General features: G+C 37.9%; 1 protein-coding gene across 52 annotated transcripts in view; it reads left to right on the top strand.

Annotated features, from left to right (window-relative positions):
• The window catches only part of PTPRD (protein tyrosine phosphatase receptor type D), a 2298757-nt gene that overhangs the window by 1823041 nt on the left and 448696 nt on the right, over nt 1–27020 (top strand). Inside the window, exon 1 of one of the 52 annotated variants that reach the window (NM_130391.4) lies at nt 10571–10631. The exons of the other annotated variants lie outside the window; for them this stretch is intronic. The gene's annotated coding sequence lies outside the window, so the exon portion shown is untranslated. Of the gene's footprint in view, nt 1–10570; nt 10632–27020 lie in introns of those variants that run through there. 52 annotated transcript variants of the gene reach the window in all.

The raw sequence follows: 27020 nt of genomic DNA, 5'->3' as shown, positions 1-27020 counted from the left end.
TAGAAGGTATAGTGGAATTTATCTGTCATTTCCATATGGTTCTTTTTGTGTCTTGTTTAAGAACTGCTTTCTACCCTCCAGATTCAAAGATACACTCTAGTCTTTTCTAAATGTTTTATAGTGTTAATTTTCACATTTAAGTCTTCAATCCACCTGGAATTTATTTTTGTGTATGGTGTGAGACACGGGTTGAATTCCACCCCCTCCCGATATGGGATGCTAATTCTCTGCTATTCTGGTTTTTTTTAAAGATGTTTCTGATTGTAACTCATTAAATTGATTTTTTTTGCCCCTCAATAATAAGGTACTAGCAGTTTAAAAAATTGCTCTACTGTTTCTAAACCACCTCTTAAATGCCCAGTGGCATTTACATTGCCAATAACGGAATTTAAACTTGAACTAGCTAAAAACAAACACCAAAGAAGACAGGAGTGCTAATATGGGTCACAGAACCTTAAGGCAGGGATGCAGCCTTAGGAATAGATTGAAATTCTACTGCTATGTGTACATCAATTCATACATTTTTCTACAGAGCAGGTCAGTGGGAATTACGGCTACTAACAGTTCCTGAGCTTTACATATCATGTATCCAACTACTGAAGGAAGTCTGTTTCCATTTATGTCCCACATTTTCATTGACACATTTTGGGTCAGACAACCACCTCTGTGCCAATCAGCTATGGTGGCTTCTGCTGCAAAATGTGGCAGATGAGAAGAGAGAACTTTTGGGCCAAATGCTGAAAAAACAATTCATTAGTAGAAGCATTAAGTATAATCTGTGTCTCGGGGTGCCTTTACTCATACTCTAATTGAGCCCATAAAATGGCATCTTTGGTGATGCCTTTGGAGTCATCCTTCAGGCAGTCAACTGGCTTCCTCTAAGCAAATGCTTCTTACTGGCCTCTCACAGTACTGCTTCTTATAATAATTGGAATGACTCAGTCCTGTGTCTGTTTTAGCTGTGAACTGTGATGCATATATATAGCTAGATAAAGTTATTTTTATGTAAAGTAATGTGACATTGATAAGGTCCAGTAAACATTAAATTGGTGATATAAGAACATCATAACATGTAAGACATCTTGCCTGTACTGGATTAAATTTCCATGAACTTCCAAAGTTGTACTGCACATTGCATCAATTCCTGAGTAAACAGTTGGTTGATAAATGAATTCTGTTCTTCGGAAGTGGGTTGGAAGCAATAGGATTGACTTGGGCTATTTTTCCTGATATTTTAAATTTGATTTTGCACTTGAAAACAGTTATGGCTGATTCGAATGATAAGAAATGTCATCAGTGTAGATGTTTGTTTTGATTTTCCTCCATAACTTTTCCTTTGCTGATTTTAAGGGAAACGTTTTTAGGCTAAGTTAAAAAATATCATCTTGGCCGGGCGCAGTGGCTCATGCCTGTAATCCCAGCACTTTGGGAGGCTGAGGTGGGCAGATCATCTGAGGTCGGGAGTTTGAGACCAGCCTGACCAACATGGAGAAACCCCGTCTCTACTAAAAATACAAAATTAGCCAGGCGTGGTGGTGCATGCCTGTAATCCCAGCTACTCGGGAGGCTGAGGCAGGAGAATGGCTTGAACCTGAGAGGCGGAGGTTGTGGTGAGCTGAGATTGTGCCATTGCACTCCTGCCTGGGCGACAAAAGCGAAACTCCATCTCACACACACACACACAAAAAAAAAAAAAAAAAAAAAAAAATCATCTTATATGAACCAAAAATATTTGGCTATGTTTTTCCATTATGGCCATGGTTACTCATAACCATTTTTTGCTTTCTTAATTTAGTTGTCCTAAATGAATTTTGAATGCAGAATAACAGATGTGATCAAGCACAGAATGTTTTCGATACATCCTGTTATTAAGAAAAAAATTTCTCCCTTATTTTGATGTAATGGAACATTTTCACAAAAGTAAGTAACTAAACTGGATTCATTTACTTCTCAAAGTTAGCAAATCTTTTACTTCTCAAAGTTAGCAAAAAGCACCTTTTAAATGTAAATAACACTTGTAGATAGGGTTAAAATGAGTTTTAAAAAAAGGTGATAGGGTGCAAAATGCTTCCTTTCTAGAGGTTGAAATTATAGTAAGCAAGATTATCCATCATTCATTTGGAAGATGACTGGGGTGGAGGCAGCATGAGTTGTGTTGCTGGGGCAGACATGACATAAAGGGTAGAGTCAGTACACATACTTGCAAAGATGTAGTTATGAGACCTAATAGGGACCTCTCTCCTGTCTTCCTGTCCTGTCCCATCTCTCCTTCCTTCCCCTCCTGTCATCTCCACATGACTCCCCTCTAATCTTCTCTCCTGCTCCGTTTCTCTACCTTCTTCAACTTTAGATATTTCACATATCTTTCCAGGGGGATTGAGAAAGATCCAGATGGATCTAGGCTTTATTCAATATCTTTTTTTTAACCAATATAGATTATTGTGTACACCCCTGTCCTAGACATTAATAGACTAGAAAAAGGCACAAATTATACATGTCAACTGGGGGAAAATGAGAAGGTAAAAAATTTTAAGATAAAGGGCAGGGAACAAATTGTCATCGTCAGAAATGAGGGATGTTTAAGGGGTTAGTACCCATTTTTAATATTAGAGAAATAATAATCCTCAAAGCAGCTTTGACTCCATATTGCTGTTGCTCAAGTAGAGTAACTAGAAGCTGAGTAAAGCTAGAAGTTGTGTGTTGAAAGTGTTGCTAGAAAAATCTGCTTAAGCAGCATGAGTGTCTAGCTTCCCAAGGTAACTATGGAAAAGGATGCAATAGCAATAGGAATGTGTAAGTTCTGGGCTGTTTAATATAGTTTTCTCAGGTCAGGCGTAGTGGCTCATGTCTGTAATTCTAGCACTTTGGGAAGCTGAGACAGGAGGATTGCTTGAGCCCAGGAGTTCGAGACCAGACTAGGCAACATCGTGAGACCCTGTCTACAAAAAAAAGAAAATATTAGCTGGGCGTGGTGGTGCGCACCTGTAGTCCCAGCTGCCACTACACTGCAGCCTGGGCAGCAGAGTGAGACCCTGTCTCTAAATAAATAAAGTAGTTTTCTCACCATGCTTTATATTTCCTCAGCAGACACCTAGGTATCATAATTGAAATAAACATTTCCTTAGGTGAGATACTTAAAATAGATTCACGCTCTGGGAATCAGTTTGTTAATGAAAATACACCCCTCGCCCCCCGCCCCCCCACCTTTTTTTTCCCTGAGGATTCAGGTATAAAACTCCAAATGTTTGACTGGGTGTGATGGCTCATGCCTGTAATCCCAGCACTTTAGGATGCCGAGGCGGGTGGATCACCTGAGGTTAGGAGTTCCAGACCAGCCTCGCCAACGTGGTGAAACCCCGTTTGTACTAAAAATACAAAAATTAGCCGGGCGTGGTGGCGGGCGCCTGTAATCCCAGCTACTCAGGAGACTGAGGTGGGAGAACAGATCTTTTGAACCCGGGAAGCGAAGGTTGCAGTTGAGCTGAGATGGAGCCACTGCACTCCAAGCTGGGCGACAGAGCGAGACTCTGTCTCAAAAAAAAAAAAAAAAAAAAAAAAAGAACTCCAAACTTTTCCTTTTTTGTCTGCCTGGAACAAATTTCAAAACATAGTGCCTAATACCTGCAAAAATAGAAATAACCACGGCATTGAACACACTTCAGTAATTGTTTTAGTTGAATTTATAGGATTAAAACAATTTCAGTGTTGACTGTTTAACAAAATGAAACTCATAGTTAACACAGGAACAAGTTCAATTATCTCTGAGTCGTTAATTTATGAATGGTTCCATGGCCATTTTCCATAGTAATGCTGAATCCCTCCCACCCTACCTTGTTCATATTCTGGGTCAGTATCTGAATTGCCACTAGCGGTGAACAATGTGTATGAGGTACACACACACACACACACACACACACACACACACACAACAAATTAAGCGGCTTCTCAGACTGCCTGTCTGGTGTTTGTTATCTATCTGTAGCAATTGGAAGTGATTCTGTTGGGCCATCTAAAGTGCACATTATAAAGGAAAAAGATTTTGCTTTTGTTTCCTTACTAGTAGCCATAGAAACTTTTAAAAACCATCTGTAATACATTACAGGAGAGTTTTTGTGTTCCTTATGCTTTTGCTAGTTTCTATTTGTATTATCTGTATATTGACTATAACCTCAGCTACCCTAGTTTGAAGCTTTACTTTAACTTACTGAACTTGAAGGAATTACAGATATTTTTACTCAATGGCCAGCATAACCACTCCTTGTTTAGCCACAGTACTTTTATATGGCTTCAGTGTGCTTTTATTTTTGTACTTTATTTGTTAAGCCGACTGGCAGTAATTCTGTGACATGGCTTTGACTGAGGAGTTGTAGCTGGTAGCCACAGCCTAGCTGATGGTCTTTAATATGGAGGCAGAGGGGCTGGCAGGAAGCAATAGTAAGGCGATTCACATTAGTTTCTTTTACTGCAAGTGTGAATACACACTATAGGTCATCAAAAGGATATTCAGGATTTTGTATTGTGGTTTGGACAGAACCATGACTATGTGAATTTACTGAAAAGGTTCTTGTTCTTTTGCCTTTGTAGCTAATCATATGTAATACAAGTCCCCTACTCCAGCCAGATTAAAACCATGGGTAATTCCTTTTGCACTAACTCTTAACATCTTCAATAGTTATGCCGGTATGACTGGGTTTCTCTTTCATTGATTAGTGTTTTTTTCCCCTGTTATTCTTCATCATCTCCTTGTTTCAGTCTCTTTTAAATATGTGTTCCCTCTTACCAAATTTCTTTTCTTGTACATATTTGTGTCTATACACCAAGTCCTGATTTTTGGTGGGCTGTGGGAGGCCTTGTTGTTTCTATTGAACAGCTTCATAAGGAGCCCAGCTGTTAGCTGTCAAGGGTTTTCTCTTTTATTAGTCTCAGAAGGCAGGACTGGCAGGGTGCAGCATGTTGGTACAAGATCCCAGCTGTTGTAATGGTGCTCTCGGAGTCCCTGATCATTTGAAACTTGAAGAAAATTTGACCTTATCATGGAAGTTGTTTCTGTTTGTTCATTTGTTTGTTTTTGAGGGGCTCGCAGTGCAAGATAAAAAGATGTAAATGATAACTGTAAGATATGGAGGCAGTATAGAGAAAAACGCGTGTTTCTGCTTTTCAAACTTTTTAGTAGCAGACATTTTTGGTATGGAGAGTTTAAGATACAGGGGGGATGTTAACTAATGTGGATGTAGAGAAATTTGTCCTGGCATATCTTTATTTGGTAAGCAGGCTAAGCAAACTTAGCAAAATTTATTCACGCTTTAAAAACATGAGATAAGAGCTCTTTCTCAGAGGCACACTCTTAAAAGTTTTGCCGAATTGGAAAGGTTCTGACGCTGTTTAATTAAAAGAAAAATGCAATAAAACCAGATTCTGTTTAAAAGGATTTTGCTTCTTTATGTAGCCTTGTCTTTCAGGTTCTCTGGGTGGCTTCTCTATGCCAGGATCCTTGGGAATAGTTTGATAAGCCGACCAAGTTATTGAATAAAGAGAATCATACACCTTAAGCAATGAAAATATCTGCCTTTACTTCATTGTGAAAGATTGACAGACAAGAACACACGTAATAGCATGCATTTACGTTTAAGAAATGAAATTTATTTAAAACTGGGAACCTTGAGAGAAAAGCTTGGTTGGGACTGAGTCATTACCCAGTTAAAAATAACCTTTCCAGGTCATGTCGTTTTGTTTGCCACAGTGAAATAAGTTTATTTCAGCAGAATGAAGCCATTATTAGCTTGGCAGAGTCCACTTGTCAGAATTTTATGGAGCACAACACCGTTTGGCTGGGAAATTCAATAAATACTGTAATGTGAGAGGAGTTAAACTCCAAGGGCTGAAGGGGCAAAGAGTGGAGGATTTGTTGCTAATTCATTGTTTCACAGCTCCAATAAGAAAGCATGAGGATATATGACGAATTATCATTAGAGGTCAGGCGCACAACCCTTTCGTGAATTACCAAAGCAGCAGGACTTGTGAGTAAAATAAAAACTTTAAGCTGTGTTAGGATGTATAGCACTGAAGGGGTAGCGTAAATATTGAGTGTCTCGATGCTCAAGTTTTTTATTTTTCTTTTTTGGAGGGTAATATGTCTTCTTTACCTGCCCTCCTGCTCTATCTGGGAATTTGTAAAGGAATAAAATACAGTTGAAAATCCTATGACAGTAGAATCCAGCCATCAGACCAGTACTGCAATATTGAAACGGAACTGAGCCGTTTGTCATCTTAACAATCTGGGAAACCAAAGCAGTGGCCACTCTCAAGCACCAGTGGGCTTCACCTTGAGGTATGAGGTAGTGTGTTCTAATGACCAGGGTATGGTGGGACTAAATTCCTACTTCTGTCACAATGTCACCGTTGACAAGTTATGTAACTTAAGTAGGCCTGGGCTTTTTTATCTGCAAAACGGTGTCAAGTAATAGTATTTATTTACTCCATAGAATCACTTGGGGATAAAATGAAAGAATACATATAAAACTTCAGTACAGCATCCATCATGTAGCAAAATAAACCGTAATGACTTCATACTTTTCAGTTGAATTTGAGTAGGAAACACCAGTTACTTTATGATATACAGAAAGTTACTAATACTAGGAAAAGTCTTTAACTTTGTGGGAAATTAATAACTCCAACATTGTGCTCTATTTATGTCATTATTCATTCACTTGTGAATGTCAATGTACAACTTTTTTATATAATTACAATCATTTTGAACTTTTTTTGTTCTGACTTTAAAATGGATTTCTTTATGAAAATTTCCGTTCTTCGTTATGATTCATATATGATATTTTCAAGTTTAATATTCTGGTCATGTTGATATGCTGTAATTTGCTCGAACTTCTTGTGGTGGGTTGTTGAATTTAAAACTGAAATTGAGTCTTGAGGAATGGGTAAGATTTAGTTGGATGGAGAAAAACTGCAAGGGTAGAGAAGAAACCTATTTTGAGATAAAACATCACTGCTTACCTATTTGGAGCTTTTCTGGCTACGTAGACTATTGAATTTCACATGAAAAAGAAGTGTAGGCCAGGCGTGGTGGCTCAGGCCTGTAATCCCAGCCCTTTGCGGGGGGCCAAGGAGGGCAGATCACGAGGTCAGGAGTTCGAGACCAGCCTGACCAACATGGTGAAACCCTGTCTCTACTAAAAATATAAAAATTAGTCAGGTGGTGGTGTGCGCCTGTAATCCCAGCTACTCCGGAGGCTGAGGCAGGAGAATTGCTTGAACTCGGGAGGTGGAGGTTGCAGTGAGCCGAGATTGTGCCACTGCACTTCAGCCTGGGCAACGGGGCGAGACTCCGTCTCAAAAAAAAAAAAAAAAAAAGCGTTAAGTATTTCTGTTTTCATGAGTGTCTCAGCACTGAAATAGGTTGAGGGTTCCCTTCCCATTTACCTTGAAAAGGGTGTTTGGCATATGTTTTAGCCATATGATGAAAAGAAATTGAGGATATAAAATTACAGTTAGATAGGAGGAGTAAGTTCAGGAGATGTATTGCACAACATGGTGACACAGTTAATAACAATGTATTGTAAACTTGAAAATTGCTAAAAGAGTAGATTTTGAATATTTTCACCATAAAAAAGTTGTTGACTACAGTTAATAACAATGTATTATAAACTTGAAAATTGCTAAGAGTAGATTTTAAATATTTTCACCGCAAAAAGTGAGGCATAGATATTTTAATTAGCTTGATCCATTCCACAATATATACATGTATATTTTGTATATGTACACATATGCAATTTTATACCATAAACATTATGGTATGTTTTATACCATAAACATTATGGTATGTTTTATACCATAAACATTATGGTATGTTTTATACCATAAACATTATGGTATGTTTTATACCATAAACGTAAAACATTATGTATACATAATAAACATACATAATATGCATAATATATATACAGTTTTTGTCCGTTTGAAAAATAAAAAAAAAAAGAAATTGAGGATGTCCACTGCTAACACCATACTTTTAAATTGATTTACTAGAATGTCTTATGGATGGACCATGAGCTGACCCACTTGCTGGCCTGTTAGGCATACAGAGTGACATGGAAGGACCTTTCACAATGTGATAAGTTACTAGGACCTTAAATATAGAGAAGACACTAAACTTGTTTTGGGAAAACGTACTCATTGTAATATGAAAGTATAGTTTGCATCATTTGCTTGTCAGCCTGACCTTCCTGCATCCCCTGCACAGTCTGATTAAGATTCAGAGAGCCTTGGAATTCATTTCATTTCATTAAAGCACTGCCCCAGAGTCCATTATTGCAAAATATTAGCATAGTGCTCCATGTGACCTTTAAAAGCTTAGAAAATGATAGAGTTTGACTCTTTCTTTATTTTAGTGCTTTGGATAATGCTTTTTTCCTGTTTTCCTATACTAATGAGTTGTACTCTTACTTTAAAACCTGCCTTCTGTTTTCAGTAAATCTTTTGACATATCTTTTTCTCAGCTAGGACACAGGTCTCCTGACTGTGTCTTTCTTCTTTCCCTTACTACCTTTATCTCCTAAGGGTATTTTCCTTGGAACTGGTAATTTTCACTCAAATGGATTAATATGGATACCACACCACAGGCTTCAGAGACAGCTTTTAAGCCTTCTGGAGGAGTTGCCAAAGTCATTTAAAGAGCAGCCCCCTGACTCTTAAGATTCTTTAGATAAAGAGTGCACCTCTGGACAGCTGATTGCCCCCTGCCGATGATAAATTCTCTTTCTTGTATCATTCCTTCAGTCTTGAAGTGGTACCAAGGCAAAGCCTTTTGCTGGTCATAAACTGCAGAATCTTTTAATCAGGGACTGGAAAAAAAAAAGTGGTTGGTGAAATTGGAGCTAACCATCCCGCATCCTCCTATTGAATTGTACTTGTAAGTACAGTTAAACCTAAAGAGAAGATTTCTTCAGAGTGTAATAGCTCCCCTGGGTATTTTTCACTGGAGCAGGTTAATTTATACTTACAATATCTGACCACAGCTGATCAATAGCAAATCTGTGATGTGCAGAAGGAAGCACTGGAGATACTGTAAGCAAACGTACCTCCACAATTGATACACATACAACCACTTCCGAGATTATTTTTGGCACAATCTCCTTCCTTTTCTGGCATCTATAAACTGGGGTTTAAGGATGACTTATTTGTTTCTTTACTTACCTCAGGATTTTGAGGATAGAATATTTCTTGGCCTTGAAGGTCATGCATGATAATTCATGTTCACATGAGGTAGATTCTCAGGCCTTGCCTGAGTCTAGTTTTTCATTCTACTGACTGACACACACTGAGAGCCTGGCTCTGGGGTTGCTTCGGGTACCTCACAGAGAGAATAAAAGCACCTTGGCTTGGCAGAAACTACCATGGACATTTTTTGTTAGACTTCTCCGGTACCTCCTTCTCCCAGTGTTGCAAAATTAATCCCTCCGTGTCTGAGGAAAACATTACCTAGTCTCAAACACTCAGGAGGCTCCTGATTAAATTAGAAACCTGAGTCTAGTAACAAAGTTCAAATTCTTGGCTATTGTGTCTGCTGTGCCTAGCGCAGGTTGAGCTCAGAATTGGTATTTAAGGAATATTTTTACATGTTTACACCTACTCTCGGGGAAAAGGGATGGATTGGTAAGAGTTCCTAAATTTATCAAATGAGAACCTCTTGAATAAATGGCCTAATCCTGTGCGGTGGAATAATTATCTAGAATTTTTACTGAACACAAGGTATTATACTTTATAATTTTGTGTCAATAATTATGATCTGGTGAATTTAGAGTCGTTTTATTTCCTTTTGTTTGGAAAATGCTATTCTTAGTTTTTCCCCAGAAGGGAGATCCTTTACAGATATTCTCAGAACTGGAGCACTGAGGGCTTATGACTTTGAATGTTTGACACTTTAACTTTTCCCTCACTAGGATTTTGATGTTACATTGTGCAGTAAGATGTAAAGAATATTATGGTTAGTAACAGTAATTATTCAGTTCACCTGGTTACCACTGCTAATCAAAATCCAATGGAATTAGAGTCTTTGTAAGATAAATGACATCTCTTGTTGATCATACCCACAGTCCAAGGAGTATCCTTAGGACCAAAAAAAAAAAAAAAAAAACCAACAAAACATCGACATAATGTGTGAGCAAATATGCCTTCTTGGGCCCTGCTGACTGCAGCATTCACAAAACCCCACGATTTGGCTGAGTTTGTGGAACGCCAGCCTGAGGCATAGAAGCTTGTTTACCGTGCTGATTAAAAGGAAAGCTTGAAATGGCTGAGGAGATAGTGGCATCTCTGGCTCTGTGTGTGTGAGGGAGAGAGGAGCAGGGATGGGAGAATTAGAGAAAGAGAGTGGGCCTTGGTAGTGTTATTCCTAGTTGTAATAATATGTATGACAGTCTTTGGTGGTGAATGCTAGCTTTACATTCTTTCTAATAATTGGAAGGATAAAATTAACATGGAAACCCAACCCCGGGACGACACATTAGGTTTTATTGAAGCCCCGCCCCACCTCCCGGCCCCACCCAGCCCATGACATGTGATGTTGAAAAGGCTGACAGATAACTGAGAGATGTTTTCATCTCTAAAGGAGGGGCTGGGTAAGTACTTGGTTGCCTTGGTTAATGGTAGAACAGGTTCCAAAAAGAAAAGAACTGGAAAGGGAGAATGAATTAAAATGGCTTCCTATTGTATTTTGCTTAACAGATTCTTGTTGTTCTTTATATTATTCGCTCGCTCTCTCTGTCTTCCTGCTGTTATTTTTCTGTCAGCCTTCTGCTATGGGTATACTGTCTTTCCATCAGGGTATAAAGGGACTAGTTCTCCTCTCATCTCCTGTCTTTAGCCCAGGGCTTGCCTCTGACATTCCCTCCACCTTCTTTTTCCCTTTGAGCTTTACGTTTCAGAGTGGATCTTAAATAAGCTTTTACATGATTTAGAGTGAAGATATCATAAAGAATCATTGTGTTGCTTTTTAACACTGCTCTTGAAAAGTAATTTTCTTGGTGGTGGTAATAAAACACCTTTTACCATGTGTTGAGCAGTGTGGTAAATTCTTTACATGTGTTACTTCACTGAATCCATTGAGCAACCCTATGGGCTCTGTATGATATTATTTCCATTTTTATGTGATAAAACTGAAGCTCAGAGTGGATGAATATTGTAGCCACGGTCTCAGAGTGGACAAGTGGGAAACACTCCATGGCCTCCTAGTTTCAGTATTACTGATCTTTCTAAGCAGATCTCCTTTCTGTTTCCAGTAGAAAAGGGCTTAAGTAAACAGTGGAATCCACATCTCTTAGGCAGTAGAAGGTGCTTTCCTCAACAAAGCAGAATTGGTCCTGTGGAGCTTGGAAGTCACGGCCCAGGACCCAGCGCAAGAATGAGAGCAAAAAGACACCAGTGATCTTGCAGCATGAAGTCAGTTTCAGTGTTGGGCAGATTCGCAGCTAGTAATCTGTCCAGACACGGTCGCTCTGTTATCCAGAGGTAGCGAGAACTTCTCAGAAGTTAGAGGAGGCTGAGCTGTCAGGAATACAACAGATATTGGCCAGGCAAAAGACAAGACTTGAGGCCTAAGATAAATCAAAGAAGAAAGGAACTTTGGTGTCTCAAAAATATGATAAAAAGGCAATTATCTCAAGTTTTAAGAAGGGAATAATCTTTATTACTAATTTTGGCTCATTGTAGTGAAATGTTATAATTTGCCAATCAGTTTAAATTGTCTAGCCTGTGGCTATCACGCCGGCCTTAAATTAGAATACATACATACATATATATGACATAAAACCACCTAAACAGTAAAAAGTAGCATGAACCTTTCAGATGGAAATGTAATGTATTACCACAGAGCAACAGTAGTTTCTAATCTGAGAGCCCACATCTGAATTACTTCTGCTGAGAAAGCAAGTAACCAATCCTAGACATTGTATTTTGTTTTGAAAGCATTGATATGGAAGACGCTCTGTGGATTGGTTAATAAATACCTCAGGATGGAGCCCAAAATTTCTTCTGTTGTATAGAGGATGTTTTTCATGGTGGGTTGTAGGAAGGATTTCATGTGAAACTACAATTTGATAAAAAATGAGAGATAATCACTATGCTTTGCTCCAGTCACTAAAATTAGGTCCCATAGGATCATATCTTTGGTACAATGAATATAGGACTGCATAAATCAGGAAGTACAGTAAATAAGGCTTTCAATTCAATTTAATATATGACCAGCTCTCTTTTATCACTGACCTTCATACCACTGAATGTTTACAGATGTGTCATTTATTTAAGATTGCTAAGTGTTGGACTGACTTACAAAAATTAATGTATGACTCACTCAAAATGGGATACACATTCTCAGGACAGTTTTAGGTATCTTAAAAAACAAATGCACTAGCTGTAAACTTTTTCCTAGATTATGAAATTTCTTTTGACAGAAAACATAATCCACAAAATTGTCTTTATATTTTGAGGAAGGAGGTATGGCAACTACTTTCAAAATTACGTAAAAATGTCTTGCTGTTAACTACTGCTAGTTTACATTGATGTCATTTTTCTTTAATGCTCTTTTTTTTTCCAGAAGGAAATATAAAAGACAAATGTATTAATTTGTCAACCAGTTGGGTAATACCTCTGTTTAAATTTCATTCTTAAGCATACTAGTTTAACAAAAAAGTTTAAATGATAATTTACTCTTTGGGAGGTGGAAGCAGGAGTATCACTTGAGCCCAGGAGTTCAAGATCAGCCTGGGCAACATAGTAAGACCCCCATCTCTAAAAAACAACAACAAAAAATTAGGCGCGGTGGCACGCACCTGTAGTTCCAGCTACTTGGGAGGCTGAGGTGGAAGATCTCTTGAGGCTAGGAGGTTGAGGCAGCAGTGAGCCGTGATCCTGCCACTGCACTCCTGCCTGGGTGACAGAGTAAGACCATATCAAAAAAAGAAAAAAATGTATATATATATGAATAGAATATATTTATATACTATACATATGTATTACATCATATTTATATATTATACATATATTATACATATGTATTATATAATATTCATATACTATACATATGTATTATATAATATTTTTATATTATACCTATGTATTATGTTATATATTTATATATTATACATATATAATATATATATAATACATATTTTTTAAAGGGTAGGACTTCAAAAAAAAAATAGCCTATTCTAAAAATTTAAATGTCTTTGTTTCTGAATGGAATCCCTGCCTCTCAAATGTCCTGTTTTGTGGCTATCACTCATACTGCTGCTAAAATAATCTTACAGAGCCCATTGGATCACCCCCATCATTGCTTTCATTTTAATAAATACTTATTCTTAGGCTGGGTGCAGTGGCTTATTCCTGTAATCACAGCACTTTGGGAGGCCGGCAGATCGCTTGAGCCCAGGAGTTCGAGACCGGCCTGGGCAACATGACGAAATCCCATCTTTACTAACCAAAAATTAGCTGGACATTGTAGTGTGCACCTGTAGTCCCAGCTACTTGGGACGCTAAGTATCAGGATCACCTGACCCTGGAAGATCAATACTGCAGTGAGCCAAGATTGCACCATTGCACTCCAGCCTGGGCGATGTGAGTAAGACCCTGTCTCAAAAATAAAAACAAAAATGCCTACTTTTGAGGTGTCTAGTTTAACTTTGACAACATCCCATTTTACCCATGGCAAACTGAGCCTTAGTATAGTTGTATGCCTTGTGCAGGGTCCAATCTCACCTTTTCACTGTCCCAAAATCAGGGTGCGGTCCTTCTACTCTTCCATCCTGGGACCTATAATTATTTCTAGTTATTGAGCCAAGGAAATTCTATGATAGTCTCTGGGAACATTTGTTATTGTCTGCTTTTAAAAATCAAAGAAAATGAAGCACTACCAAACCAAATCTTCATTTCTTTTTAATTTTAACTCATAGTTTCGAAGCATTTTTTGATTTACTGTCCATCAACTTTACCTACTGCTAGGAGTTAGGACTGGCCCAGCCTAAATGAAACATCAAGCTGTTCATGTGAATAGTAGTTTATATCATTGTTACTATTCTTCATTCCTGCAGATTATTGCATCATTTTTTTTTTTCCATTTTCAAATTTTATTTTTTAGAGAGACTTGGCCTCAGTATGTTGTCCAGGCTGGTCTTGAACTCCTGAGCTCAAGTAATCCTCCTGCCTTGGCCTCCCAAAGTGCTGGGATTACAGGTGTGAGCCACCATGCCCAGCCAGGTTATTGGATCTTAGAAATTAGTGGTTTATAATTGAGATAACAGAGCATCATGCAAAATGCCCATGCAGTAAACCTGTGTATGTACCCCTTGACTCTAAAATAAAAGTTGAAATTATAAAAATAATATTTGAGATAATAGAAAGTACATGTGACTAAGGCCTTTCCAGTTTTTTTTGCTCCCAATCCAAAGCATTAGTATATTCCATACCTGTTATGTACTGCATCTCACCTAATTTTGGCCTTTCCAGGGATATGGCTTTGCTCTACATATTATGCAGAGAGTTCAAAGTTATCCATCCTTGTTTATTTCCTAGTCCACAGCAAGAAGACTATAGCAGTGTCCCCAGTCTTACTGCCTCAGGAAGCATGAAAGCTTAGGCAACATTTTAATTAAATGTTGCCCCAGGTCTTTATTCTTGCTGAGAAAGTAAACAAAGCTTAAACAGACCATATCAGAAAAAAAGACCCCCCTGAAATGTTGTTTTTAAAAATTATGCCTCACCTTCTGCTGTTTGCTCTGACGTATGAGACATTTTTTAATGATGTATTTTATTTTAAATACCAATACAATTAATTGATTCAAAGTTCATTCCAAAGATGTTAGTACCTGCATCACTTAAGGCATCACTGGACATAGCAATTAATTGGAGACTTGTGGGTTATTATTTGGCCATGGCGCCCGATCAAAAATTGTTCCTTTCTGTTGCCATCCCTAGTACAGGGTGGTAGAGACTTTAATTTTTCCTTTATATTCACTATATTTTCAATTGAAAATATGGCACCATATAATGAAGTATCTTCGTAATCAACATTTGAATTATTGCTAACCTCTAATATATTTTCTCCCTTTAAAGTTACTTTTCATGGCTGGGCGCAGTGGCTCATGCCTGTGATTCCAGCACTTTGGGAGGCCGAGGCGGGGGGATCACCTGAGGTTGGGAGTTTGAGGCCAGCCTGACCAACATGGAGAAACCCCGTCTCTACTAAAAATACAAAATTAGCCAGGTGTGGTGGCGCATGCCTGTAATCCCAGCTACTCGGGAGGCTGAGGCAGGAGAATCACTTGAACCCAGGAGGCGGAGGTTGCAGTGGGCCGAGATTGCGCCATTGCACTCCAGCCTGGGCAACAAGAGCAAAACTCCGTTTCAAAAAAAAAAAAAAAAAAAAAAAAGTTACTTTTCACATGCATTTTGGTTATGCGTGTGTAACATTGTTGCATTTATGTTACATCATAAAATCCTTTACAAAGTCTCTAAAGCTCCCTGTTTTTTCTTCATCTTCATCTTGTCAGCTCTCTCCTGTAATCTCTAATCTTCTCCCTTTCTGAAGGCACTGAGGTCTTTCATGTTTTAGGATTTTCTCTGTAGTGTTTTTATTAAATAATATGTTATTCAAATTAGCAATTGAATCCAATTTCTTATAAGGTATGCTACCTAAAAAAGATATCCGGACGTTGAAGGAAACCAAATTGAGCATATTGGTTGAAAATGCAAGTATCATCCCAGTTAAGATATATTTATCCTGTGCACCCCAACTTTTTGACACCCTGTATTATCCCCAGTTTACAAATGAGGAAACATATCTGAGGAGCTTGTCCAAGGTGGGGAAATAGATATTTACATAAATAGCTGTGGTACAAAGTAATGGGCACTGTAACAGGAGATTGGATAATAGATGGCTCCTTTGCGCGTTGAGGAGGGCTGCCTAACTCTTCTTGGGGTTGGAGTCAGGAGAGAGGGAGAAGGTAGCTGGAAGTGTGTCATGTAAGGAAAGCTTCACAGACATTACATTTGTGTTGATCACTCATGAATGAATAAGACTTTCTCAGTAGCCAGGGCAGAAAAGAGAGTTCTAGACAGGAAACAGCATGTGCAAGTGTAATGAAAGAATATTTTGTATATTTGAAACTGCAGCTATTTTATTTTGAATCATAGTTATTGTAAACAAGTCACAAGATTAGCTAGCAAAGTAGACAAGATTTAAATTATGAAGTCAATTTCTAAATCAATGTAAAGAGCTTGGAATTTATTTTAATGATGGGAATTCAATGAAGTGTTTTAAGCAGGGGATTTACATTATCAGATTTTTGTTGTGAAAAGATAATTCTGACTTCAGCTTTGAGCAAGTAGGATAGGGACCAATTTATTCTCCTGTGTGAAACAAGCCATAAAACAGATAAAATACATGCAACAGTGGTCCTCAAGACATGGGACTTCAGGTCCTGAAGTACAGTGCCCTCTGAGTGATGAGAAACCAACAAGCGAGTACCATGATTGCCTCAGCTTACTGCCTGGCGAGAGTTTCTAGGGTTTAAACAGAAGAGATCAATTAAAACTTGGCAAACTCCTGAGTTGGGAAGATGGGGCCGAGTGTCTGGGTAGGCTAAGGCAGCTGGAGTCTGCAGGACATAGTACCAGGACAGATAGCTATACAGAAAGAGCTCTGGAGATCTACAGAGGCTTCCTCTCTGGTTGATATTCAAGAGAGTGCTGACCAGCAAATGCATGTGAACAAACTACCCAAGGCTGGGGAAAGAACCACTCAAAAAGACTAAAGGAAACAATCTCTGGAGCTTGCACAGGGCTGGGAATATTGCCTGCTCCCACCAGAGAGGAAAGCTCCATAATTCATAGGCCATTCAGTAGAGTACATTCATAGAGTAATTCATAGGGCATTCAGTAGAGTAGAACAAGGGTTTTGCTTCAGAAGTGGGGAAAAATTGACTTTAGGTTAAACCCTAAGCTGAGTCCTAACTAAAGAATCTTAAAAACAAGGCCTAAAGTTATCAAAATGTTTCCAAGAATCTTAACTGAATCTCAGAACAAAAAGCAAGAATATTTATAGGGACACAAAAATATCTAGCACCCCCAAAATAAAATTAACAATATCTGGTATCTAATAAAAAATTACCAGATATAGAAGGAAGCAGAAAAGTTATACTCATGAGAAAAAAAAATCAACCTATTGAAACTGACTCAGAATTGACACAGATGTTAGAGTTAGCAGACAAGAACATTAAAACAAGTTTTTAAAAAATTATTTTTATTATTTTTTTAGAGACAAGGTCTTGCTCTATTGCCCAGGCTGGATTGCAGTGGCGTAGTCATAGCTAACTACATCCTCAAACTCCTGGGCTCAAGTGATCCTCCTGCCTCCTGAGTAGCTGGGACCACAGGCATGCACCACTACACCAAGCTGATTTTTCAATTTTTTGTAGAGATGGGGTCTCACTATCTTGCCCAGGCTGGTCTTGAACTCTTGGTCTCAAGCAGTTCTTCTGCTTGAGGTTTTTAACTGTACTTCTTTATGTACTGTGCTCCTTTATGTTTTAAAAAGTAAGTAGTGACATGCAAATATTTAAAAACCCAGATTGGAGCTCTTGAGATAAAAAACTACACTGTCTGAGGTGAAAATTAGAGAAGATGAGTTAATAGCCAACAAGACATTACAGAAGAAAAGGTTAATGAACTTGAAACCATCACAATAAAATTATGTAAAAATAAGCAGAATTTAAAAGAGTTCTGGCCTCAAAATCTGTGTTGTTGTTGTTGTTGTTGTTGTTTTTTCAGGAAGGAATAGTTTTTTTTTAAGTTTTAATTTTTGTGGGCACATAGTAGGTGTATATATTTATGGAGTACATGAGATAGTTTTTACAGGCATATAATGCATAATAATCACATCAGGGTAGGTGGGGTATCCATCTCAAGCATTTATTCTTTTTTTAGTAATTATTCTTACAGTCTGATATTTGCTAATATTGATTAGTTGATAAAGCATTTGGTTTATGACCCAGCTTTTCTGCGTGAGGTACACTGCGTTGGGCTTTTTTATAAGATGATGTTAGTAAATGACTGATGGCTGAATTTTTTTTTTTTTTTTAAAGCCATGCACAGGTCACAGCTGTGGCTACTAGTTTGGTCATCTAAAACAAGGGTTGAATGCTTATAATTGAACATATGTATACGTGCATGCAATTTGAAAACAGTGTTCTCTTATAATTATCCTTTAAGTATTCGACTTTTCTTTTTAGATGACTTTGGAACTTTGAGTAAATTTTATATTCATAAAACAAACATCCAATACCTATTTCCACTCCACAAATCTCCAAGTGACAAACCAAAGAGAAAATTTACATTGGAAATTTATGAGGTCTTTGGGTTTTACTGAATACTTATTTAAAGTCCGTGTGTCACTATACTACACTGACTTAGACTTGTCACCTGTTTTTGGTGGGAAAAAGATTTCATGTTTTACCATGACACACAAAGCACTACTGTTAGATATATTAAGGAATAAAACACTTTCCTTGGTTCTAAATTCTAAGAATTTTTAAAAGTACAGTGATAGTCTTTAGTATTTTGTGTACACGGACTTGCATACATGCCTGGTTTTCCTCCATAATGGGAAAAACTTTTGTAAATAACTAGGAAAATATTTTACAAATCAGTGTATTCAGTTAGAATAGAAAGAATTTTAAATTTTTAATAAAGAATAAAGACTACTATCTTTTTTTTTTTTGAGACGGAATCTTGCTCTGTCGCCCAGGCTGGAGTGCAGTGGTGTGATCTCGGCTCACTGCAAGCTCTGCCTCCCAGGTTCACACCATTCTCCTGCCTCAGCCTCCCAAGTAGCTGGGACTACAGGTGCCCGCCACCACGCCCGGCTAATTTTTTTTGTATTTTTAGTAGAGACGGGGTTTCACCGTATTAGCCAGGATGTTCTCAATCTCCTGACCTTGTGATCCACCCGCCTCTGCCTCCCAAAGTGCAGGTATTACAGGCGTGAGCCACCACGCCTGGCATAAAGACTGTTATCAAAGAAACTGTGCAATGGGAAGTTTTACTCCGTTCAATGAATGCTGATTACATCTTAAAGTTTTCAGGTTTCTATTGTGTTTTGCCTTTCAATTGAGTTTGAATATTTGACGTTTTTGCCCATTAATATATGAACATTTTTTGGAAAAGACTTCAGATAATTAGTGGAACATACATTACATAAAACATACAATATATATTTCCACGAAAGTATTTAATTTAAAAAAAGGTCAAGCAAGTATCAAGTAGATCTGTTTTTGGATCTTCTTTGAGTTTGGTCTGAAGTGTAAGATTTTGGATTTAGTGAAAGCTTCTCAGTCAGTTTCCTAGAGGGATTGACTACACCATTGTCTAATAATAATTAAATCTTCCATATTACACAGTTTAGAGAGTATATTTAATGAGAGAAAAATGAATTGCTGTTGAATAGAAAATAGACAAAGCTCATAGAACATATTTTTTCATTCTTTGAATAAATTTTCTTGTATTTTCTAATTATTTGATTGTATTAGAATAGATAGTGGATCGTGTTTTTTTTTTTATTACACTATCATAGCAAATTGAGAAGGTACTTTCTTTCTTTCTATTTATTTATTTATTTGAGACGGAATCTAGCTCTGTCATCCAGGCTGGAATGCAGTGGGCTTGATCTCGGCTCACTGCAACCTCCACTTCTCCCGGTTCAAGCAATTCTCTCTGCCTCAGCCCCCCGAGTAGCTGGGATTACAGGCGTGCACCACCAAGCCTGGCTAATTTTGTGTTTTTTGGTAGAGACGAGGGTTCACTATGTTGGTCAGGCTGGTCTTAAACTCCTGACCTCAGGTGATCCACCGGCCTCGGCCTCCCAAAGTGCTGGGATTACAGGCATGAGCCACCGTGCCTGACCGGTACTTTCAATCAGACAGTTTTCACTCATAGCTGTCTTAGCACTGTAATATTTGGCAGATCATTTCTTATTCCTATTTACGTGAATGTCCATTTTTTAAACCCATTGTGTATCTACCAGCTTGCAATTACTGGCATCCTTGGATTGGGAGCAGGGGAGTGCGGTCAGATTTCTATGTATTTTTTTTTTTTTCTAATTGTAAATTTTGAACTATTTACAAGCAAAAACTCTCCCTCCCCTCTTTGTTTTAGAAATATAAAACAATAAAGTTTTTTAAGAGATAGAAAACTGTTGAACAGAGTTGCTTTCCTTCTGACATCAATATTCTCACAGTAGAACCATTACATTTTTACACTGAGGGCTGATGTTTAGAGAGAAACCTGTTACTTTGCAATTGGTATTCAGATGAGTGGTGGGGGACACATTTTTTCATTTATCACATTAAGTTTTTGGCAGTTTTCCACTACTTGCAAGAAGAAGGGAGAACCACACAACTACAAATGCCTTTGTTGTCTACTGCCTCGGCCAAATCACACACTTTGTGGATGTTCAATAAATATTGATTGATGATGCTATTCACTGAAAACACTCTCAGGTTAAAACTTGGAGTGAGTGCTTAACATTCTCATCCAGCTGTAATTACGCTTTTGCAATTTTCATTTAGTTCTCAGTACTAGTGTTTACAAAACTGTAGCGTTGTGAGGAAACTAAACAAAGATATATAAATAGTGAGTGAGTAAATAAAGAAATTCCGAATGAACTCAAACAAATACTAGACACAAATGTTTCCTGATACAATGCCTAGTAAACATTATAACATAAATCATTTATCTTTATTAGTTTTTCTTCATGCTGCACATTTAAATATATAAAAATATTTCCACTGTTACATAAAACATTTTCCTTGGGTGATTCATAAATCATTGACAAAAGTTGGCGTTATGCTAACACACAGAATTAGGTGGGTTGCTTTTGGCTAAACACCTCCCCTGTGCCTCCCTGCCATGTACACAAACACCCTTGAAACACGGGAAATCTGTTTTTATTATATAGTGCTATAACATGGTAAGAACGGCATTAGACTACCCTTAGTAAGTCAGTGTACTAGTCCCTTGCAAACTGTTTAATGATTATTCAGTGAGTTTCATTTTTCTTATATCTTAAAAGAAGAGCTAGGTTACTTCATTTCTAATATTAATTCCAGATTATAAATTCTGTACATATTTGGTTTATTTTTCTTCCAATGAAGGGTTTTGGACTATATCTTTATGGAATCATTATTAGAAGGAAAGTAAGTTTTATGGGAAAAATAAAACAGTAACAACAGTAGTCTTCTGTAGTGTCTAATCCATTAGTTACATTTTTTACTTTTTAGCTGGGTGTCATTTTGTAGTTAAAGGTTTAATGACTCTTATTTCTTATTTTTAAAAATTATTTATTTATTTTGAGACAGGATCTTGCTCTGTCACCCAGGCTGAAGTACAGTGGTTCAATCTGTGCTCACTGCAGCCTCCTCCTCTGGGCTCAAGAGATTCTTCCACCTCTCAGCTTCCTGAGTAGCTGGGACTACAGGTGTGTGCCATCACACCCAGCTAATTGTTTTGTATTTTTGTAGAGACAAGGTTTTGCCATGTTGCTCAGACTGGTCCTGAACTTATAGGCTCAAGGGATCCACCTGCATCAGCCTCCCAAAGTGTTGGGATTACAGGCAGGACTATAGGCACGTACCATTATACCCAGTGTTATTTTATTTTTTAATTTTTTTAATCAAGATGGGGGTCTCACTATGTTGCCCAGGGTGGTTTCAAACTCCTGGGCTCAAGCAAGCCTCCTGCCTTGGCATCTCAAAGTGTTGGTATTATAGATGTGAGCTATCACGCCCACACTTAATATCTTTTAAAGACGCAAATTCAGGCCAAATAGTAACAACTGTCTTTGTTCTTCCAGACCCTACTGTATTTGAGAAATTGGTGAAATATTTTCTTTCCCTCTGACCTTTTTTAATTACCGTAGTATATTTGTTGTAAAAAATTTGTAAGGAGTAAAACTTCCTCTTTATCCTAATTCTCACCATGTTTAGTTATATATGTTTCCTTTTTCATCTTTCCCATACACAGCAGTGGGTCTTTTTTCTTTTTACTGTAACTTAAATGAGACCATACTGAGTGGTTCTCAACTTAAGTTATACATTGGAATCACCTGGTAAGTTTCAAAAATACACAGATGCCTGGGTCTCCCCTTGAAAGATTCTGACTTAATTATTGTGGAGTATGACCTGAGCATCCGAATTAAAAAAACAAACACAAAATTTTTAACTCCCTGATAATTCTATTGTATGGTCAAGTTTGAGATTCCTAACAAAGCTTTTAGAGTTTGTTTTCTTTGTTGAAGATTGATCATGGCCACCCATCTATTATGACTCAACGTATGGTGCACCCTCACTGATAGTCACTCAGATATTTTCTAGTTTTGCCATTACAAAAAAAATGCTGCAACAAATGTACATGTGTCTTTGAGTTCCTATATAAATGATCTTTGAGTAGAGTTGTACAAGGGGAAATACTGGTTCAAAAAATGTGGGACGCCGGGTGTGGTGGCTCAAACCTGTAATCCCAGCACTTTGAGAGGCCAAGGCGGGTGGATCACTTGAGGTCAGGAGTTCGAGACCAGCCTGGCCAACATGGTGAACCCCATCTCTACTAAAAATACAAAAATTAGCTGGTTGTGGTGGTGCACACCTGTAATCCCAGCTACTCGGGAGGCTGAGGCAGGAGAATCACTCAAACCTGGGAGGCGGAGGTTGCGGTGAGCCAAGATCGTGCCATTGCATTCCAGCCTGGGCAACAAGAGCAAAACTCCATCTCAAAAAAAAGAAAAAAAAGTGGGGAAATATTTTATCTAAATCTCTTACATATGCGGTTCTTCATTTTGGTTTTGTTTGATTTGGGGGCATTATCTATTTCTCTTTTTCTTAAAGCTTAGGGTCAGAAATATAGCATACCAGAGTTGAAAGGAAACATATACAGTAAGTCCTCACTTAACATTGTTGATAGGTTCTTGAAAACTATGACCTTATGCGAAACCTATGAAGCCAATTTCACCATCGGCTAATTGATATAAACAAGAGTTAAGTTCCTATGGCATATGTCTGGTCACAAACACATCACGAAACTTCTAAATAAACACTTCTAATATTAAACATTGAAATTAATGTGAGCTTTATATACATTTAAGAAAGATTCATAAAAACAAGTAAGACAATTATTTACCCAACTTTTGGTGAATCCATGAGTGATGATGCTCCTAGTGGTGGTGGGTTAAATCAAGGAATAAATGTTTGCAAAGTGAAAATTGTAAGAAGTGTCCTTTCCCACCATGCAATTCAAAAGCAATCAATTACAAACATAGGTGAGTGCTTTTGTGCTGCAGTGTTTATTGTCGTGTATTTGTATGATTATAGATAAATTATTAATTTTCTATTTGATAGTAATTTTTAATCATTCATTTGTTCATTTTCCAATGCACTTATTCAAGTTCAGAATTGCAGGAGGCTGGATCCTACCCTGGCAGCTCAGGGTGCAAATTGGGGACCTGACCCTGCAGAATATGCCGTCCCATCTCAGGGTACACTCACACATACTTACTCACTGACACTGGGACACTTTAGATACACTGACTCACCTACAGTGCACATGTTTAGGATGTGGGAGGAAACCAAGTACCCAGAGGAAACCCATGCATACTTGGGGAGTATGCACACACTCCACAAAGACAGTGGCCTCGGCTGGGGATTGATTTTTTTTTTTTTTTTCATCAGTGGTAAAACGAAATGGGGTTGAACCAAATGATGTTACCTGAGGACCTGCTGTTAGGTTTTCAGCCTACATTTCCCACCTAGTGTAAGGAAACTCTTGGTATGGACACTACCAATGACTATCCACCAAGAGGGCCTTAAAGACAGTCCCTGATGCTGGGCTATTCCAATTGTCATTTTTTCCTACATCAGGTTTAGAACTACCTGTTTATAGCTTTAGAGTACTATATTTTGTTGACCAGAGGAGTCTTAGAAATCATTTTGGTTAAAATATTTGTTGTATAGATGAAGAAATGAGGCCCAGAAGCTGTGGATACACTGTCCAATATCAAACAGCTGAAAAGTCATAATGCTGGGTTTGGAGAACAGGACTCATTCTTGACCCACTGTAGCTTATTCTGATTACAAATTGTAGTAGTTAGCTTTTTCTGACTACTAATACTGTAGTAGTTAGCTACTGCTGCCAAGTTTAACAACTTAAAACAGCATTTATTATCTCACAGCTTCTGTGAGTCAGGAATATGGGAGTAGCTTAACCAGGTAGTTCTTGCTTAGGATCTGTTACGAGGTTGCAGTCAAGATGTCGGCCAGAGATGTGGTCATCTCAAGGCTAGGCTGGGGGAATATTGGCTTGTAGGCTCTGCTACTTGGCTTTTGGCAGGACTGATAATACCCGCTTCTAACCTTATTCACATGGTTGCTGGCAGGGATTGGTTTTTCTCACCATGTGGGGCTGTCCACGGGCTGCCTAAGTGTCCTTAGAACATGAAGGTTGGCTTATGCCAGAGAGAATGAAGATGGCGGGAGATTGCACCCAAGAGGGAAGTCATGGTTTTTATATAACTTATAGTGTTATTGTTATTGCATCACCTCTGGCATAATGTTATTGCATTACCTCTGGCATAATCTGTTTGCTGGAAGCAGTCACTAAGTCTAGCCCACAGTCAAGGGGAGTGGAATTATGCTCCATCTTTTGAGGGGAAGAGTATCAGATAATTTGTGTACATATCTTTAAACTACTACACATATGTTTAAATCGTATTTAGCATTTGGTAATTGCAAAATTTGTACTTTCTGCTCAAAGGGCGTTTTATTTCACTTCCTGGCCCTGAAAGGAAGCTAGATAATCATTTTATCATAATCACACAACTGAAATAAACTTCTGGAATTAATAGAGCAGAACAGTGTTTTAAAGGTTGTCTGGCTAATAAACAGGAGATAATATTGGGACCCAGAATTATAACTCATTAAATGTATCCTCATGCCCAATCATGAGATGTGTTTAATTATTAAATGATTACATATTAATATATGCATCATGTGATCTCTATTGCCATCAAATAAGCTGCTATTATTATTATTATTATTATTATTATCATTATTATTATTATTTTGAGACAAACTCTCTGTTGCCCATCCTGGAGTGCAATGGGGCAATCTCGGCTCACTGCAACCTCCAGCTCCCGGGTTCAAACAACTCTCCTGCCTCAGCCTCCTGAGTAGATGGGATTACAGGCACGCACCACTATACCCGGTTAATTTTCGTATTTTAGTAGAGATGGGGTTTCACCATGTTGGCCAGGCTAGTCTTGAACTCCTGACCTTGTGATCCACCCACCTTGGCCTTCCTAAGTGCTGGGATTGTAGGAGTGAGCCACCATGCCTGGCTCAAATAACCCATTCTTTAGAGTGTCCCATAATGGTCCGTATTTTTAGTGTCAGATCCATGATCCCTAAAATCTTAATGCCTAAATTCCAGATGTTTTAAATCTCTAAACTGTCAGGGTGTTACTGGGAACATAAGGTAAATGCCTTGAAACCAAACAATAATGTGTTTTTAATGAAGAGGCCTTTCTGTATTGCTGAAATCTGAATCAAGAGTTTTCCTCTCTTGCAATAGCCTTTTCATACCACCCTTTGTAATGAAACATATGGCTCACATCACAGTAAAATATGTAGAGTAGGAAGAAGAAAAAGCATGTTTCACATACGTGTCATATCTGATGTAATGCCATATGTACAACAACCATAGAGGACTGAGACTTAACTGCAGTCCTGGAATAATTAGAGTGAGAGTGTCCTTAATTTATTTTAAATACTGCAAATGGTTTCACATTTTGAAGTAATTAACACTCCCTTCACTTATAATATTTGCATTTCATTATTAAGAAACAATCCCTCAATAATTTTTAATGAACTCTTGAAACTGATATTTAAAAAGCATTAATTTTCTGAAAATAAATTATCAAGAGAATAGTTCAGTCTTGTCTTGAATTTACCATATTTAGTAAGCTAATGAGAGAGAATTTTTAAAAAGGAAATACATTTTGTGGCTTTTTATGAAGTGTGTATGACTAGCTGTCTTTGTGCTCATGGTCTCATTTTGATGTGGGACATTTTTATTTGATATAAGAGAGGGGTAACTTATGATCATTCTCTTCTAGAAAACGAAAAACTTTTCTCAAAAATAGCAAAATTCCAAAAGAAGATTGTGACCTTTTTTTTTTTTGTTTTAGGGAACATCACTTTCTCTTAGGTGTGCTATTTCTTTCCTGTTTTTCAAAACAAAAATGACATTTGTAGCAATGCATTATAGTGTTATGTTATACTATATATGTTATATATAATGTATATATGTTATATTAATACATAATTATTGCCTTTATTTTTTTGAGACCAAGTCTCACTCTGTCACCCAGGCTGGAGTGCAGTGGCGTGATCTTGGCTACTGCAACCTCCTCCTCCTGGATATAAGTGGTTCTCATGCCTCAGCCTCCCAAGTAGCTAGGATTACAGGCATGAGCCACCATACCCAGCTAATTTTTGTATATTTTTATTAGAGATGGGGTTTCGTTATATTGGCTAGGCTGGTCTCGAACTCCTGGTTTCAGGCGATCCATCCAACTCGGCCTCCCAAAGTGCTGGGATTACAGGCATGAGCCACTATCCCTGGCCTACCATTATTTATGACTGGAGTCTTATAGTCTGCTCTACTGTCTCAAGCTAACAAATGAGAACAGAGAGAAAGAGTGTTTTCTTTTTGAGATCTTCAGTAGCTTGAAACCATCTTTGGCAGAGCATCCAAAAAGCTTGATTTTTCAGTGGCTACTCCTGCTGGAATCTGGGTTTATATCTGAGCCAGGATCCTGAGCCTACCTGAATGCTCAGGTTGGTTATTAACTACAGAGACTCATTGGATAGCCTGAAGAATGGCCTGGGCATTTCAGTGTCACGCTGGAAGGA

The sequence above is a fragment of the Homo sapiens genome, chromosome 9, assembly GCF_000001405.40.
Source record: "Homo sapiens chromosome 9, GRCh38.p14 Primary Assembly".
NCBI lineage: Eukaryota > Metazoa > Chordata > Mammalia > Primates > Hominidae > Homo > Homo sapiens.
Note: the sequence above shows the minus strand (reverse complement) of the source record. Positions and strands in the feature narration are given on the sequence as shown.